This window comes from Homo sapiens, chromosome 1, assembly GCF_000001405.40.
Source record: "Homo sapiens chromosome 1, GRCh38.p14 Primary Assembly".
NCBI classification, from domain to species: domain Eukaryota; kingdom Metazoa; phylum Chordata; class Mammalia; order Primates; family Hominidae; genus Homo; species Homo sapiens.
Genome location: NC_000001.11, coordinates 234,372,231 through 234,390,971, shown reverse-complemented (window position 1 = coordinate 234,390,971; position 18,741 = coordinate 234,372,231). Strand labels below are relative to the sequence as shown.

Below are 18,741 nucleotides of genomic sequence, written 5' to 3'. Positions count from 1 at the left end.
GGCCAAGGCGGGTGGATCACCTGAGCTCAGGAATTTGAGACCAGCCTGGCCAACATGGTGAAACCCTGTCTCTACTAAAAATACAAAAATTAGCTGGGTGTGGTGACATGCACCTGTAATCCCAGCTACTTGGGAGGCTGAGGCAGGAGAATTGCTTGAACCTGGGAGGCTGAGGCAGGAGAATTGCTTGAACCTGGGAGGCAGAGGCTGCAGTGAGCCGAGATTGCGCCAGTGCACTCCAGCCTGAATGAGAGAATGAGACTCCATCTCAAAAAAAAAAAAAAAAAAAAGTTTATATGAAGTTTTTCATATCACCTTTGCACACAGAGATCAAATAGTGGTTAGAAATAGTCTATATTCTGACAACTATGAACATGGACCTAAAGGAGTTGAATTACTCCTGTATATCTTTATCGCAACAGAATGGAACCTGTAAGTGTTGATTGTTTCTGTTCTTTCAATTTTTTTCCTCTGGCATTTATTACTTAATTATTTATGAGTAACTATTTATCACTACCCAGCAATGAATTTCAATTATATCTGGGTCCTTTTAAATAATATTTAAATTTGAGCCCATTACCTGTAAATATTTTCTTCTGCAGTTTTCTTTAGAAATGACTGTTTTGTAGAAGGGTTGCAAAGAGAGTACACAAAGTTTTCATACACCCTTCACCCACATGCCTCTAATGTGATCTTAATAACCATGGTAACCTTCATCAAAGCTGAGAAAGTAACCATTGATAATGGCTCTCTTCACTAGACTATAGGCTTTATTCAAATCTCCCATTTTCCACTCTGTTTTCCACTCTGTTTTCTGCCCCAGGAGCCAACCCAGGATACCACATTGTGTGTTCCCTTAGTCTCCTCATATCTCTGACAGATCTTCAGTCTTTCCTTGTCTTTCCATGACCTGGACACTTGAAGAGTACTGGCCAAGTATTCTGTGAATGTCCCATAATTTGGGCTTGTCTGGTGTTTTCTCATTAGACTGAGTTTGTGGGTTTTAAGGAAGAACATGCCAGTGGTCAGGTGCCTTCCCATCACATCGTGTTAGGCGGCTCATGGCACCAGCAGGATGGACTACCCCCATCAATGGATGAAGGCTGCGCTTGCCACATTCTTCTCTGTGAAGTTGCTACCTGTCCTCTTAGTCTGTTAAAAGTGAGTGACTAGGGTGGGCGCGGTGGCTCACGCCTGTAATCCCAGCACTTTGGGAGGCCGGGGCGGGCAGATCACGAGGTCAGGAGATCGAGACCATCCTGGCTAACACGGTGAAACCCCGTCTCTACTAAAAATACAAAAAATTAGCCGGGCATGGTGGTGGCTGCCTGTAGTCCCAGCTACTCAGGAAGCTGAGGCAGGAGAATGGTGTGAACCCGGGAGGCGGAGCTTGCAGTGAGCCAAGATCGTGCCACCACACTCCAGCCTGGGTGACAGAGCGAGACTGTCTCAAAAAAAAAAAAAAAAAAAGTGAATGACTAAGCCCAGTCTGTACTAAAGGGTAGGGAGTGTAAACTCTGTGGGAGGGAGGAGTATCAAAGAATTCAGGAGCACCTGTTAAAATTACCACAGTAATTAATATTTGGGGGAGTATTTGGATGCTATGCAAATTACAAGCCCTGTCAGTGGATGGAACTAGGGGATCTGTGTATGTCTACCAACCCATGTATGTACATATCTATGATGTTTCTGCCTTTATCAGTCTAGATAGGTGAACATAAACGTGACTTCGTACTGACATCTCTGACACAATCCAGCACCACAGGATTCATTCTAACATTCACCTCTTGCTTTTAACTGCTTTTTCTGACCTAGACCTGGTTCTCATTATCTATATTTACTTATTTGTTCAATCCTAATGTAAACGTAGTTTCAGAATTGCAAATTTAGCAACTGTGTACAGTTCTTTTTGTCCGTAGCCTTACAGTATCTGGTCAAAACACCATTTTCCAGTTACCTAGGTCAGTCCCTTTCTTACCCACCTCTTTGAAAAGGGTTATGTCATATATTTTATAATACAACTAGACTCATCACGACCTGCATTCCATCTTGTAATCCCCCCTATATCCTGGTTGATTTTATTTGTGCATTCAGGTCACTTTTTATAGTGAACAGTCTGGATTTTGACAAGTGTGAACTCATGAATCTGTCACCACAGTGCCATAGTTTTGTCACCCAAAGTTTACTTGGGTGACCCCTTCATAGTCAACCCCTCTCCTTATCCCAACCATTGGTAACCACTGATCTGTTCTCTATTCTTCAGTTTCACCTTTTCCAGAATCTTATAAATGGCAGCATATAGTATGTAGCCTTTTGGATCTGGCTTCTTCACATAGGAAAGTGCATTTAAAGCTCATCTATGTTGTGTGACTCAGAAGTTAATTTTTCCTTAGTGCTGAGTGGTATCCCATTCATAGATGTATCGCAGTTTATCCATTCCTCTGTTGTAGGCATCTGGGTTGTTTCAAGGTTTTGGTGATTATGAATAAAGCTGCTTTGAGTAAATATTCATATACAGGTTTTGTTTTCAGTTCATTCGGTGAAATACCTAGGAGTGTGATTACCGGGTCATAAGGTAAGTGTATGTTTAACTCTGTAAAAAAGCTGTTTTCCAACGGGGCTTTATTTTTTCCATAGCCAGCAGCAGTGAATGACTGTTGCTCTGCATCGTCGGCAGCACTTGGTGTTGTCAACTTTTTAATTCAAGCCACTCTAATAGGTGTGTAGTGATTATGTCATTGTGGTATTAATTTGCATTACTCTAATGTTTCGTAACATGGAGCATCTTTTGATATATTTTTCAGAGTATACCTTCTAAGAAGTATGTACAAAATCTTATTTTTTAAACTGGATTGTTTTTCTTATTTTGAGAATTACAAGATTTATTCTGGATGCAAGTTCCTCATAAAATATATGATTTGCAAACATTGTCTCTCAGTCTGTAATTTACCTTCATTATTTTAAGAGTATCTTTCGCAGAGCAAAAGTTTTTAATTTTGATAAAGTCCAATTTAGCTTTTACTTGTATGGATTGTGCTTTTGATGCTTTATCTGAAAATTCATTTCCAGACACAAGATCATGCAGAACTTCTTCATATTTTCTTCAAGTTTTATAGTTTTACATTTTACATTTAGCTCTATGATCCATTTTGAGTTAATTTTTGTACCAAGCGTAAGGATGTTAAAGTTTATTTTTTGGTGTGTTTGGATATCCAATTTTTCTAGCACTATTTGTTGAAAAGATTATCCTTTCTCTGTTGAAATGCCTTTGTACTTCTGTCCAAACACAGTTGACTATTATATGGGTCTCTATTGTTCCATTAAACTATATCTTTCGTTTTGCCCATACCATACTGTGTTGATTACTGTACCTTCCAAATATGTCTTGAAATCAAGTAATGTGAATCCTCCAACTTTGTTCTTCCTTTTAGAATTGACTATTTTAGTTCCTTCACTTTTCCATATAAATTTTAGAATCAGCTTGTCAATATCTACAAAAAAGCTTATTGAGATTTTGATTGGGGTTGTATTGAACCTATAGATCAAATTGGAGAGAATTTAACCATATCTTAACAATAGCGAGTCTTCTAATCCATGAACACAGTATAGTCGTCCCTCAGTATCCATGATGCATTGGCTCCAAGACCCTCTGCAGATACCAAAATCTGCAGATGCTCAAGTTTCTTATATAAAATGGTATAGTATTTGCATATAATCTATACATATCCTCCCTTATACAGGCATACCTCATTTTATTGCACTTGATTTATTGTGCTTCACAGATAATGCATTTTTTACAAATTGAAGGTTTGTGGCAACCTTGTGTCAATCATATCTATCTGTGCCATTTTCCCGACAGCATGTGTCTCTGTTAGTTTTGCTAATTCTCACAGTATTTCAAATGTTTTCATTGCTTCATCTATTATGGTGATCTGTGATCAGTGATCTTTGATGTTACTTTTATAATTGCTTTGGGGTGCCACAAACTGTACCCATGTAAGATGGTGAACTTAACTGATAAATGTGTGTGTTCTGGCTGGGTGTGGTGGCTCACTCCTGTAATCCCAGCACTTTGGGAGGCTGAGGCGGGCGGATTCCTTGAGGTCAGGAGTTTGAGACCAGCCTGGCCAACATGGTGAAACACCGTCTCTACTAAAAATACAAAAATTAACTGGGCATGGTGGCACGCGACCGTAGTCCCAGCTACTCAGGAAGCTGAGGCAGGAGAATCGCTTGAATCCAGGAGGCAGAGGTTGCAGTGAGCCAAGATCATGCCACTGCACTGCAGCCTGGTGACAGAGCAAGACTCATCTCAAAAAAAAAAAAAAAATTGTGTGTTCTGACTGCTCCTCTCACTGGCTGCCATCTCTCTCTTCTCCTCAGGACTCCCTATTCCCTGAGACAACAATATTGAAATTAGGCCAATTAATAACACTATTGATGGCCTCTAAAGTGTTCAAGTGAAAGGAAAAGTGGCACGTCTCTCGCTTTAAATCAAAAGCTAGAAATGAAAGAGCTTAGTGAGGAAGCCAATGTCAAAAGCTGACACAGGCCAAAAGCTAGGCCTCTTGCACCAAATGCTTAGCCAAGTTGTGAATGCAAAGGAAAAGTTCTTGAAATTAAAAGTGCGACTCCAGTGAACACATCAATAAGAAAGTGAAAGTCTTATTGCTGATATGGAGAAAGTTTGAGTTTTCCGGATAGACGATCAAACCAGCCACAATATTCCCTTAAACCAAAGCCTTATCCAGAGCAAAGCCCTAGTTGTCTTCAATTTTATAAAGGCTGAGAGGTGAGGAAGCTACAGCAGAAAACTGTGAAGCTAGCAGACATTGGTTAATGAAGCGTGAGGAAAGAAACTACCTCCAAAAAAGAGCAAGGTGAAGAAGCAAGTGCTCATGCAGAAGCTGCAGCAAATCATCCAGATCTAGCCAAGATCACTGATGAAGGTGGCCACACTACACAGATTTTCGACGTTGATGAAACAGCCTTCTTTTGGCAGAGGATGCCATCTAGGACTTTCAGAGCTAGAGAGAAGTCAATGCCTGGCTTCAAAGTTTTAAAGGACAGGCAACTTGTTAGGGGCTATTAATGCAGCAGGTGACTTCAGGTTGGAGGAAGGAACTGCAGATGTGGTAGAAATAACAAGAGAACTAGAATTAGAAGTGAAGCCTGGCCGGGCGTGGTGGCTCATGCCTGTAATCCTAGCATTGGGAGGCCGAGGTGGGAAGATCACTTGAGGTGAGGAGTTTGAGACCAGCCTGGCCAACATGGTGAAACCCCATCTCTACCAAAAAATACAAAAATTAGCTAGGTGTGGTACGCCCCTATAGTCCCAGCTACTCGGGAGGCTGTGGTGGGAGAATCGTTTGAACCCGGGAAGCAGAGGTTGCAGTGAGCCAAGATCGCACCATTGCACTCCAGCCTGAGTGACAGAGTGAGACCCTGTCTCAAAAAAAAAAAAAAGCCTGATGTGACAATTGCTGCAATCTCATGATCTTGAATGGATGAGAAGTTGCTTTTTATGGATGAGCAAAGAAAATGATTTCTTGAGATGGAACCTATTCCTGGTGAAGATGCTGTGAATACTGTTGGAATAACAAAGCATTTAGAATATGACATAAACTCAGGTGATAAAGCAGCAGCAGGGTTTAAGAGGATTGACTCCAATTTTGGAAGCAGTTCTACTATAGGTAAAATACTATCAAACAGCATTGCACACTACAGAGAAATCTTTTGTGAAATGAAGAGTCAATCAATACAGCAAACTTAATTGTCTTAAGAAATTGCCACAGCCACCCCAAACTTCAGCAACCACCCCCCACCTTGATCAGTCCGCAGCCATCAACATCGAGGCAAGACCCTCTACCAGCAAAAGGATGACAACTCGCTGAAGACTCAGAGAATCTTTAGCATTTTTTAGTAATAAAAAGTATTTTAAAATGAAGGCATATATACTGAGCAGACATAATGCTATTGCACACTTACTAGACAACAGTATAAACATAACTTCTATGTGTACTGGAAAACCAAAACATTTGTGTAACCCACTCTATTGTGATATTCACTTTAATGCAGTGGTCTGTAACCAAACCTGCAGTATCTTTGAGGTATGCCTATACTTTAAATCATCTCAATGACTTACAATACCTAATACAATGTAAATAGGTGTTATACTGGATTTTTAAATTTTTATTATTTTTACTCGTTTTTCCTTTTCCCAAAAATTTTCTCTTCGGGGTTGAATCCATGGATGCAGAACCCACAGAGGGCCAACTGTATACCTCTCCATTTAATCTGATGTAGTCTGCTTCCAAGTGTTTTCTAGTTCTCAGCATAGAGGCCTCCATATATTAGATTTATACCTAAGTATTCCTTTAATTTTTTTTGGTGCTATTCACAAATGGTATTTTTAAGTTTTAAATTCCAGTTGTTTATTGCTGATATATAGGAATATAATTTTCCTTGTGTATATTGACCTTGTTTCCTGCAACCTTTCTATGATTGACTTATAGTTCTAGGAGCTCTTTTTGTGCATCCATTGGTACATTCTATAAGATAGTATTTATTATATGTGAGTAGAGCTAGTTTTCTTTCTTCCTTCCCAGTGTGTATGCTTTTTCTTTTTTGTCTCACTGGACTAGCTAGACATCCAGTTCCTGTCCCAACATTAAGTGTTGATATTAGCTATGGGCTTTTTTATAGATGGCTTTTATTATTTTACTTGTATATTTTAAGTTCACCCTTCTTCCTTATAAACCTTCCACAAACCCTCATCATTTCTCACTTGGGTTGTTGTAATAGCTCTTGCCTGTATTAAAATGCTAACTCCCATTTATTTCACTTCTATGTATATTATAAATTTTATCATCTGCCTACTACCCATCCTCTAATTAAAAACAAAACAAAAACAAAACAAAAGTGCATGTGTTTATAACAGGTTTTACTTTTTTTCTTAAAATAGAGATTTCTTACTAAATACCATTTTATTTCATTTCTTCACAGATCTTCTGGTTCTTGATCATCTTAATTATCAAGTGTCGTATATAGGGAACAAGTATTGATGTTCACTATGATTCAAACTATTACTGTTCCATAGTCAGTGGAGCTTTTTCAATGTCCAGAAAGAATACTTTCAATCTTTATGAACAGCCTAGGATTTTGCAGTTGTTTCTGAAGGCTCAAATTGTCCTGCTTCAAATTTTTCTTTGAATTTTAAGTAGTCTCTTCTTTTATCAAAATATTTTATCTGTTGGAAAAAAAAAGGATTTGAAATAAGGGCAAGTTATGCAGCTTAGATAAGCAAAAGCACAGATTTAAATGTAACATATTATTCAACATAAATTTAAGTGATTTATATTCTAGAACCATTTTGTGTGTGTGTGTGTGTGTGTGTGTCAGCTGTAACTATGAATGATGTTTTTCTTTTTTTTTTTATTATACTTTAAGTTTTAGGGTACACGTGCACAACGTGCAGGTTAGTTACATATGTATACATGTGCCATGTTGGTGTGCTGCACCCAGTAACTCGCCATTTAACATTAGGTATACCTCCTAATGCTATCTGTCCCCCCCTCCCCCCACCCCACAACAGGCCCCAGTGTGTGATGTTCCCTTTCCTGTGATGTGTTCTCATTGTCTAGAACCATTTTGAATTGAGGCATTTGATGAAAAAGTCTCTGAGGAGAGTACAGACCAGTGAATCCTAATCCTTTTTGGATTACAGACCATACTGAGAATTTGAATAACTCAGGAACCTTCTCAAGAAATGGACCCATGTGCACACAGGTCAGGCTTGCTGGCGAGTTCAGAGTCCACAGAGCTCTCAGGTAGGTCAGAAGGCTTCAAATGAGAACACATTGGACCATTTTTCTTACTTCCCTTCCCTTCCTTCCATTCCCTTCCCTCCCTCCCTCCCTCCCTCCCTCCCTCCCTTCCTTCTCTCTCTCTCTCTCTTTCTTTCTTGACAGAGAGTCTCGCTCTGTCACCCAGGCTGGAGTGCAGTGGAGCAATCTCGGCTCACTGCAACGTCCGCCTCCCAGGTTCAAGCTATTCTCTGGCCTCAGCCTCCCAAGTAGCTGCAATTACAGGCATCTGCTACCATGCCCGGCTACTTTTTTTGTATTTTTAGTAGTGATGGGGTTTTGCCATCTTGGCCAGGCTGGTCTCGAACTCCTGACCTCAAGTGATCCACCTGCCTTGGCCTCCCAAAGCGCTGGCAGGCGTGAGCCACCACACTGAGCCTGGACCATTTTTCTTATCAACTCTAAATTCATCTTCATTGTCAGACCAGAAAACACTAGTTCTTTTGTTAAAAGCCTTTCTTTGGATTTAATTCTTAAATATTTCAGTGGTGCTCGTAAGTAAAAATTATCTTGGACTGCAAATGTAAAAATCTGCCCTGTGCTGTATCAATCAAGCTAGGATAACAGACACACACAAAGTCAGCTGAAAGGAAACATGTCTCCCGAGGGTGTACGACAGCCACGGAGTGTGCTAATAGATCCGTTATTTGAGTGATTACTGCTTTCTTATTCATTGGGAAATCTTGTTCTCTAAAATCATTAACTACCAGAAATTTGCTGTTTGAAGTCTGATCTGTAAGAAGGAAACATCCCACTTTTGTCTAGAAGATCTACGGCGCCCTGACACAGAAGCAGCCTTGATCTCCAACCCAGCTCCAGGATGTCAAATAACATTTCTCAACATGAACATGACACTCAATCTTTTAACTTCAAAGAAAGAAAACCCTGGTCCACTTTTCGATCCAGAGCTGACGACGACACCTATGCTTTGTACTGAGGTTGTCAAAACACCATTTCATTTAAATTTTACCTAAACTCCATTCTTCCCCTAAACTTCTAATAACTCTCTTTTTCTTTGTTGGTAAGATGCCCACAGTTCTCTGGTGTGTGGTCTTCCTGGTTATAAGCATTCACAAATCAGACTATACATTCATCCCTGGTGGTCTCAGGCTGATTGGGCTAGGATGGATGTTATATAAGGATACCAAAGGAAGAAGTGGACATTGCCCTTAACATTTTTGTGACAAATTAATAGATGTTTGCATGTCCTGTCACATCTCCAACTGCCTAAGACAACTCCATTTAGAGGTCCTACTGATGTTGCAGTCCCAACTTGTCCAGAACTTTGCTCCTCTCCAAACATGTTTCTCCTCTAATACCTATTTCAATGAACGCATCACATCTACCTAGACACTTACATCTCTTTTCCCTTCTTCACTGCCACAGCACAAACCCTCATCATTTCTCACTTGGGTTGCTGTAACAGCTCTTTCACTGGCTTCTCTATTTCTAGGCTCAACCATCCTTAATTCACCTGTCCCAGGCTGCCAGAGTATAATCTTTCTGAAACCCAAATTTGATCAGGTCACTTGCTTGTTTGAAGATCTTTCAAGGTATCCATATTGCCTTTAAGGTTTCTAAGACAAACGAGGCCACTGATGGCTTCATCCCTGCGCCCCTGTCCATCCTCTCTGAATTCACCAGCAGTCCCTGAACTGTTTGTCCTACAGAGCTACCCCATGCTCATTTCCTGCGCGTCTTGATTCCATGCCTTTGCATATTACCACATTCTGCCTGGAAAGCTCTCCTCCCTAGCCATCACCTTCTCTTTCAACCAACAGCCTAAACCCTCAACACACGGTCCTTTCTCTAAAAGGCTAATGAATCAACAAGGATTCATTGAGAAATACTGTATACACATATGCGAGTGGTCTCTAAACCACTGAATAAGACCCAGGACAGTAGTGTGAATGCCAAAATACTGGGATTTCTGAGACATTTCAAAGTTTTATAGAAAAAAGACAATATATGAATTTGATATTAAGATCAAAGATCTTGGATATCTGGTTGCTCTGTTTGTGGAACTTTGTTAGATGATGCTAGAATGATAGGCCTGATCCCTGCTCCTAAGTTAGGAACAATAGGAGCCTTTTATTTTATTTTATTTTTGAGACAGTCTTACTCTGTCACCCAAGCTGGAGTGCAGTGGCGTGATCTTGGCTCACTGCAACCTCTGCTTACCAGGTTCCAGTGATTCTCCTGACTCAGCCTCCCGAGTAGGTGGGACTACAGGCGCGTGCCACCGCGCCTGGCTAATTTTCGTATTTTTAGTAGAGATGGGGTTTCGCCATGTTGGCCAGGCTGGTCCCGACCTCCTGACCTCAGGTGATCCACCCGCCTTGGGAGTGGTGGCTCACGCCTATAATCCCAGAAGACTTTCAATAGGACCATTATACACATCATACTGATGAGTGCTATAAAACAGATATGTGAGTACGAGAGAGAACTAATTTGTTTTGGTAACAGCTACCATATTAGTTGTATGGCATATTTATTTTGTAATAAGCATGTATTTTTGGTGTTTTGGGATAGAATTACTCAATCTAAATCCCAATTTGGTGGTGCTATTTTTTATCTTTATTTCGTGGCTGTCACATCAGCTAAGTAAAAGATCCAAATTTTGAAATCATAGACATTCAAATCCTCTCTCTACTACTTTACTGGTTGGCTGGTCTAAGACAAATTATTTTACCTTTCTGAACCTTAGTTCCTATTGTATAAAGCAGATACAAAGTACCTCACAAGACTGAATGAAAATTAAAGGCAACAAAAACAAAGCATCTCATTCAGAATGCACTCAAAAGAGATTTCCATTTACTTGCCCTCCCGTGTGCCTCCCCACCCTTATGCACACATATCTCTGGAAAAACTTTTCAGCTTTTATTCTGTGGCAATTGAGTAGGACTTTGACAAGGTAATACTTGAAAAGAGAGCACAGGTGAACAGGGAGCAAAGAACCGATAGTGAAGGGCAGGCTGAGAAATAACTCAGTTATGAACTAAGAAAGAACAGTGGTGCAGAAGAAAATGGGTGCAAATGGGAAACGGGCTATCACTGTCAAATGCTGCAGAAGTCAATGGGAATAATTTACTATACTACCTGCTTCCCTTCTTTGTTACAGTCATCTACAACTTTGCAGGTCACCATCTGATATGGTTAGGCTTTGTGTCCCCACCCAAATCTCATCTTGAATTGTAATCCCCATAATCGCCACTTGTCAAGGGAGAGACCAGGTGAAGGTAACTGAATCACCGGGGTAGTTTCTCCCACGCTGTTCTTGTGACAGTAAGTGAGTTCTCATAAGATCAGATGGTTTTATAAGGGGCTCTTCCCCCTTTGTTTGGCACTTCTCCTTCCTGCCGCCTTGTGAAGAAGGTGCCTTGCTTCCCCCTTGCCTTCCACCATGATTGTAAGTTTCCTGAGGCCTCCCCAGCCATGCTGAACTGTGAGTCAATTAAACCTCTTTCCTTTGTAAATTAACCAGTCTCAGGCAGTTCTTTATAGCAGTATGAAAACGGACTAATACACCATCATTTTTTCCAACAATAATCAGGTCACAACTCGTGGGTACTCAGGTCAAAACTCGCGGGTAATTTCAATGTCCACATACTGATCTTTTCAATACCATGGCCTCTGTTCCTTGACCTCTTCAATGATCTCATCCTCCAACCTACCTTACTCCCAGGATCAAAGCTTATATCTTATCCTCATAACAAACAGAACCCTTCCATAATTCCAATTGTGAGAATCCCATTCTCCAACCCCTACCTCTGAACATTCCCTCTTGGACTTAATGCCAACAGCCAACCAGTCCCACCACCTTTCTACTGATTGTCATCCCTCTCATGGCCTCACTTCCCTCCTTACTCCTAAACCCAAAGCTCTCCAATAGCTTCCTGTATTACTAAGAGTAAAAGCACCAACCATGGCCGGGCACAGTGGCTCACACCTATAATCCCAGCTCTTTGGGAGGCTGAGATGGGCAGATCGCTTGAGTCCAGGAGTTCAAGACCAGCCTGGGCAACATGGCAAAGATCACACCACTGCACTCCAGCCTGGGCAACAGAGTGAGACTGTCTGGAAAAAAAAAAAAAAAAAAAAATTAAAAAAGTACCTCCCTGGCCTCCCGTCTCTTGGCTCTAACTTATGCTATTTTCTTCTTACTGTCCCTTAAACACATCGGTGCAGGTTTTTGTTGCTTTTTTTGTTTGTTTTGTTTTTTTCAAAAAGAAAAAAAAACCAGAGTCTTGTACTCACCCAGGCTGGAGTGCAGTGGCATAATCTCAGCTTACTGGAAACTCCACCTCCCGGGTTCAAGCAATTCTCCTGCCTCAGCCTCCCAAATAGTTGGGATTACAGGTGCCCACCATCACACCCAGCTAATTTTTGTATTTTTAGTAGAGACTGGGTTTTGCCATGTTGGCCAGGCTGGTCTCAAATCCTGACCTCAGGTGATCCGCCCACCTCGGCCTCCCAAAGTGCTGGGATTACAGGCATGAGCAACTGCGCCTGGCCCATCAGTGCAGGTTTCTGGCTGTTTCATTCTCTCTGCCTGGAATCGTCTTCACCAGGTATCTGCCTATCTGTTCCCTAACTTTTTTCATAACTTTGTGAAAACAGTTACTGTATAAATAAAACCTTTCTTGACCATCCTACTTAAACCTGTACCCTTGTTTGATTTTTCATCCTATCACTTATCACCATATAACATCCTTTTAATTCTACTACTTGTCTCTCTCCCCATACTAGAATGTATGCTACATGAGGGCTGAGCACTTTGTCTATTTTTCCTTGCTGTATTTTCCTATGGCACATAGGAGGTGCTCAATAGATATTTGTGGAATGACTAAATGAACAGGATATGCACCAAAAAAATGACCATGGAGCTGAAGTAGGGCCATCATCTATATTTGGGTGATTTTTTTTCTCTATCATTCCATTAAAATGGGCAGGTTATGTGTTCTTGAACTTTAATAAATACGCTTTTTACAAAACACGTGAATGTACTTTTCTTGTCAGAAGGGGAACACTGAGTCTCCGCTCTAGATCCATTAACTGTCATACTCCTTCCCCAGACAACACAAGTGCTTTAACTGATGATGAACACGGTCATTCCTCTCCTTCACCCCCTGGCAGCAAGACTGGTTACAGAGAGCTTGCACTCAGCTCTGCGGTTCTACGGGTGAGTTTTATAGGTACACACCCCATGTGGGGGTGCTGTGGTAGCTTCATGCTGCCTGCATCTGGACAGGTGAGGTAATGGCCACTATTGGGCCTCTGTCCAGATTCCCTCTGCAGACCCATGCACGCACTCCCCGCTGTGCTGGGCAGTGGCTAACAGCAGATGGCTGCCCCCTTCTCCAGAGACCTGCCCCTCAGCCAATGCCAATGACTGGCAGGCACAAAAGCCATGAAATATGGTGCAATTTACACTCCAGAGCTTCCAGAAGGATCAGAGTGAAGCTGGACAGCAGCTGAGCTCACAGCCCTAACTTACCTAGTCTCCCTCCTGAGAACACTCCAATAATTCAGTCGAGGGTGACACGCAGGTCCCGGGTCCTAAGTTGATGCTGGTGTCTTTCACTGAAGCTGGAAGCATGGGAGGAGAGGCCTACTGGGTGCAGGTCATGAGTGTGGGCCCTGCTAACCTGATGGGATTAATGTCCTTATAAGAAGAGGAAGAGCCGGGTGCAGTGGCTCATGCCTGTAATCCCAGCACTTTGGGAGGCTGAGGCGGGTGGAACAAGAGGTCAGGAGTTCAAGACCAGCCTGGCCAAGATGGTGAAACCCCATCTCTACTAAAACTACAAAAAGTAACTGGGTGTGGTGGCGGGCGCTTGTAATCCCAGCTACTCAGGAGGCTGAGGCAGGAGAACTGCTTGAACCTGGGCAGCAGAGGTTGCAGTGAGCTGAGATCACACCACTGCACTCCAGCCTGGGTGACAGAGTGAGACTCTGTCTCAACAACAACAAAAAAAACAAAAAAAGAGGAGACAGAGACTGGATCTCTCTCTCTCTCTCTCTCTCTCTCTCTCTCTCTCTCTCTCGGCAACACAGCAAGAAGGTAGCTGTCTACAAGCCAGGATGAGGGCCCTCATCACAAACTGACCATGCTGGCATGCTGATCTCGGACCTCCAGCCTCCAACACTATGAGAAATAAATTTCTCTAAGGTATTTTGTTATGACAGCCTGGGCTAAGATAGGCATCAACACATAAGCTGGGACTTCAAGCCATGGCTGTAAACAGGATTGCCTTGGTCGAGTGAGTAGCAGAGAAGGGAGCTCTAATGAACACGGGCATTTAAGACTCACAGCAAGGCATTCCAAAGAGCAGCGGCTGCTAGACGCGAATGAAGGAACTGGGTGAGAGAACCGTAAAGAGACCCAAGGAGACAGGGCTTTTGTATTCAAGTAGACCTGAATGATAACTCAGTTTCTAGAACTACATGAGACTTGTGCAAGCTATTTTCATGGATCCTTTTCTTGCATGGTAGGCATAGGAAGAAGTATGTGGGGTCTGGAATCAGACTACTGAGTTCAAATCCAGGCTCTGTTACTACAGGTGACTTCATGTCAATGTGCCCTTACCTATAAAACCGCTAAGAGAGTTCCACGAGGGATAAATAAGATAGATGACACATTTCAAGTGTGTAGAGTGTAGAGTGTAGAGGATGTACTCAATTCATGTTAGCGGTGACTAGGACGCAGTGACCTGGAGAGAGGTTGGGGCCTCAGGGGATGGCACCCAGTCTGCTTGAGTGAGAGAGATGTACATACGATCAAGAACCAAATGGCTGGTTGTAAAAACCCTTTCTGGCACACAGACTGGAAGCTGCCCCGGAAGTGTGGGAGTGGGAGCCATCAGGCTGGAGAAAAAGCAGTGGGTTGCAGGAGGAGAGAGAGGATAAAAGTGGGATCGAAGGGGAACTCCTTAAACCTGGAGTTCCTCTCAATGCATCTGTCTAATGGGAAAACTACAGATGTATAATATTTTCTTCTGGAGTCATTATCTAATTCAATCATAGAGTCCCACATTGATCAGTTTTCAGTTTACATGTCAAGTTATGCATTTTGTTGTCATAACAATCCCACGAGATAGGTTGTAACAGGCTGGTTTTACAGATGAAGAGTTCATCTAAAGCAATGCCTGGCCAGACGTGGTGACTCACGCCTGTTAATCCCAGTGCTTTGGGAGGTCGAGGTGGGAAGATCACTTGAGCCCAGGAGTTCGAGCCCAGCCTGGGCAACATAGTGAGATCCTGTCTTTACAAAATAATTTTAAAAATTAGCCAGGCATGGTGGCAAATGCCCATAGTGCCAGCTTCTCAGGAGGTTTAGGCGGGAAGATTGCTTGAGGCCAGGAGGTCAAGGCTGCAGTGAGCTATGATCACGCCACTACACTCAAGCCAGGGTGACAGATTGAGAACCTGTCTCTAAAAATTAAAGAAAGAAAAATAAAGTAATTTCTGTTCACTGTGTTCATCCCCAGCTCAGCCACCAATACGACCCCTCCCTGCATCACAGCCTTCTTGTAGCCTCCTTCAGAGCCTTTTAAAGGTTTGAGGTATGAGAGGGCAAAACCCCTAAAACCACTTCAACTCTAAAAGTATCTGTTTTCCAACTACATGGTATATTTTGCAGCAGCATAAGACAGTGAAAAAGCACAGGCAAATCCAAGTTCAAATCCCACACCAGCCAGTTAGGCCTGCCTTAAAATTACAGTTTTGCCACTTGCTGAGTAATAACAAGCGAGTTACTTCAATGCTCTGAGCTTCAGCTGCCTCCTCTGGAGATAGAGAATAACAACGTCTCGCTCTGTGGCCCAGGCTGGAATGCAGTGGCGTGATCTTGGCTCACTACAACCTCCACCTCCCAGGTCCTGGTTCAAGCAATTCTCCTGCCTCAGCCTCCTGAGTAGCTGGGATTAGAGGCATGTGCCACCATGCCCAGCTATTTTTTTTTTTTTTTTTTTGTATTTTTAGTAGAGATGGGGTTTCACTATGTTGGCCAGGCTGGTCTTGAACTCCTGACCTCGTGATCTGCCCGCCTCAGCCTCCCAAAGTGCTGGGATTACAGGCGTGAGCCACCGCACCCAGCCAACAACACCTATCTTAACAGGTACTGGTGAAGATGAAAATGTCAAGCACTTAGCACACATGGCCACTTACTAACCTCAGTAATAGTCCTCTTTCCAATCCCCCCTTATACTAAGGACAGGGGATACAGCGCTTGAATGCCTGTCAGGGAGACAGAATCCACCATATGAACCTTTTCTTTCTTCTGCTTACCAAACTCCTTTCTTTATATTTTGGGTATATGATGACTTACAGGATTTTTGGGTGAGCAACTGGGAATGCTTTATTTCTGATAGTAGCTCTAGGTCAATAATTTTGCCAACTCCTGCCCAAGATTAAATACTACCCCTTCAGAAGATCCTGGAAAAGTCTACCAGTGAAATGAACTGGAATTTTTTGGTTACTGTTCATATGTTTGTTGTGTTTTTCGATGCTCTTTAATGTGTCAGTTGACATTCTCCAAAGATCTAGCTGATGTAAGTGCGTCAAATAAGGCTGAATTACCAGGCAAGGTTTTCTCTGCGCCTCAAAGAAACTGTTAATTGACATGCCTCAGAGAGCGCTTCATGTCAGCCTACCACTCACAGTATAAGCTCGATGTATCTTAACAGGGAAGAGAAACACATCAAAGTGTGACTTACCCACTGTTGGGGACAACTTGATTCGAAAGAGCTTCTTAACTTCTTGCATTGAGAAGCATCCTCTAAGTTCTCATCTAAACACTTCCAGTACTCATCCCGGGCCCCCCAGCAGACCTGTCTTTCCTTCATAGATGGGGCTGCCATTCCTACTGCGATGAAGCTGTTGGCCAAAATAATATTTGAGATTAACAATGAACTTTGTAATCTGAAGAGAAGATAAGGAAAGAGGAAAACCGTCAATCTCCTCTTCCTTTAAAACTAAAAAAAAAAAAAAAAACAAAAACAAAACAAAACCATGCTTAGGGATTTTGATGAGGCAACTGAACCCAATCAGTTCTCAGTGGCAGCATAAGGCCACCCGCTCTTGAGGCTTATCTCACACTGTGTGATTTGATCCCTGCTGGGGCGGCAGCGTGGGCTCAGAAAGCCCGGCTGAGAACTGTGGTTCTGTCCCAGTCGCTTAGGGCAGCTCATTTATTCTCTCCGAGCCCGTTTCCCACCAGTAAAGCGGGGACAGCAGTGCCTAGTTTACAGGGTTACTGTTCGAACCTAAGCGCTGTAGAAACAGGTGTGTGGGGGCCACAATCACCAAGCAGGCGATTGGAGTGCCACCCCGTTTTGCACAAGAGGAACCCGCGGCTCGGGGACAGTAAGGGACCTCCCGGGCCCATAGTCCACGCGCGCCCCACCCGGACCCATCAGCAAGCCGACCTCTCTGCCCGCCCACGTCCGGCTTCCTTTCGATGTCGACGGGAGGAAACTGTCACGCAGGCCACCAACCGGCGGTGGAGGGCGCGGTGCCGAGTCCTGCCACTGCAGGGTCGCCCCGCTGGCTCAAGCTCTAGAAGCGTAGACCTCCCCAGCCGCAAAAAGCAACTCACGCGGCGAAACCGCGGACTCTTTTGACCCTTCCGAGCTACCATTTACTTTCCATAGAGGGGCGGGACTTCCTGTTTCGCTTTTATCTGTAAGACCGACTTCCGGCCTTCAAGGGCAAGAGGGGTATATACGTATATATCATCGCACGGTGTGTCCCGGAAGGCTTGATATGCTAGTCCCGCGGGACAAGGCGAGCCGAGGAGTTTGTGTGGAAGTTTGCATCTGAGAGTGCGAGAGCTGGACGGAGTGTTACAGAGCCGCGATGCCTTCTCGTTTTGTTTTGTTTTGTTTTTGATACAGTGTCTCGCTCTTCCGCCCAGTCTCGAGTGCAGTGGTGAGAACACGGCTTACTGCAGCCTCAAAATCCTGGACCCAAAAGATCCTCCCACCTCAGCCTGCCTCCCAGGTAGCTGGGACTACAGGCGCACAACACCATCGCTTCTTGGATTAAAAGAAAAGGATGAAACGGGCCCCAGAAAGAGGCGGTGACGTCCCAGAACCCATGGCAGGGGAGTTGGGAAAATAAATATTTGTATTGTTTTAATCTCCCTTGTGGCTTTTTTTAACCCCCGAAACAGCAAGGTATTTTTAAAAGGGATGAAGAGAGTTGCTTCAAATGTTTTGAGACGTTGTTATTTTTAATATGTGAGTGAATATCTTAGAAACAAAATGAACAAGAAATAAAAATTTTAGAAAATATATGAGTTAATCTCTCAGCAGAGTCTTTATTAAAAAGCATGTTTATGGTCAGTCATCTGGCACCCCGTTCTCTTAATAGATCCCATCTGCTCCATCATCTAGTTCTAAAACATTTATATAAGATGCAATTTACAATTTTGCACTCAGTGCAGTTTGATCCATTCCAAATTCAATATATGCAGACTTTTCCGGGTGGCGATGTGAGGCTACGTACCACCAAATATGTGTTCTGCAATATAGAAAGTATTTCCCCCATAGTTAATGCACTCTCATAGTGGAGTTACTTTAGCTTTACCAGAGCCACCCCCTTCTTTTACATCATGTCTATTGACGTCAGTTTACATATAGATATCTTTTAAATATGACTGATGGGATATAAAAGGAATGAAAGGAAAGAGTCTTAGATGACTTCTGAGTCTAAAAAGGAAATGTGTTTTAAATTTAAAATTTATAAGTACCTAATGAAAAATACATATGAAACAAAGTGAAGTGACAGAATTACAAAGAAAAAAAATGCCTGGTCATATTGGGTAATTTTAACAGGACTTTCTCACTAATCGTTAAGACTAGCAAGAGAAAAG

General features: G+C 42.7%; 1 protein-coding gene and 1 long non-coding RNA gene across 5 annotated transcripts, besides 3 other annotated features; one reads left to right on the top strand and one right to left on the bottom strand.

The window, feature by feature from the left end:
- Nucleotides 5,892–17,516, bottom strand: COA6 (cytochrome c oxidase assembly factor 6). Of its 3 annotated transcripts, none has more exons than NM_001206641.3 (3): nt 17,294–17,516; nt 16,583–16,742; nt 5,892–7,249 (listed from the first exon to the last, which is right to left on the bottom strand). In NM_001206641.3, exons 1-3 carry the CDS (start codon nt 17,503–17,505, stop codon nt 7,154–7,156), a joined length of 468 nt encoding a protein of 155 aa, NP_001193570.2. In that variant the 5' UTR covers nt 17,506–17,516; the 3' UTR covers nt 5,892–7,153. The 3 variants fall into 3 exon arrangements, with proteins under 3 accessions (NP_001193570.2, NP_001013003.1, NP_001288662.1); NM_001012985.2 differs by lacking the exon at nt 17,294–17,516 and adding an exon at nt 17,132–17,289 and having other exon boundaries at nt 6,923–7,249; NM_001301733.1 differs by lacking the exon at nt 17,294–17,516 and having other exon boundaries at nt 6,923–7,249; nt 16,583–17,271.
- Nucleotides 17,133–17,682: an enhancer, noted in NCBI's record as "active region_2751". NCBI's record gives its function as "activates an Ori minimal core promoter by ATAC-STARR-seq in GM12878 lymphoblastoid cells {active_cell/tissue: GM12878}" and the evidence as "EXISTENCE:reporter gene assay evidence [ECO:0000049][PMID:35858748]".
- Nucleotides 17,133–18,328: a biological region, named in NCBI's record as "NANOG-H3K27ac-H3K4me1 hESC enhancer GRCh37_chr1:234508390-234509214".
- COA6-AS1 (COA6 antisense RNA 1) lies at nt 17,379–18,165 on the top strand. 2 transcript variants are annotated; one of them, NR_125961.1, is made up of 2 exons: nt 17,379–17,549; nt 17,762–18,165. It is a non-coding gene; the product is annotated as a COA6 antisense RNA 1 (long non-coding RNA). The 2 variants fall into 2 exon arrangements; NR_125962.1 differs by lacking the exon at nt 17,379–17,549 and having other exon boundaries at nt 17,569–18,165.
- Nucleotides 17,504–18,328: an enhancer, noted in NCBI's record as "NANOG-H3K27ac-H3K4me1 hESC enhancer chr1:234508390-234509214 (GRCh37/hg19 assembly coordinates)". NCBI's record gives its function as "activates a minimal SCP1, AML or CMV promoter by ChIP-STARR-seq in naive H9 embryonic stem cells {active_cell/tissue: H9 hESC(naive)}" and the evidence as "EXISTENCE:reporter gene assay evidence [ECO:0000049][PMID:30033119]".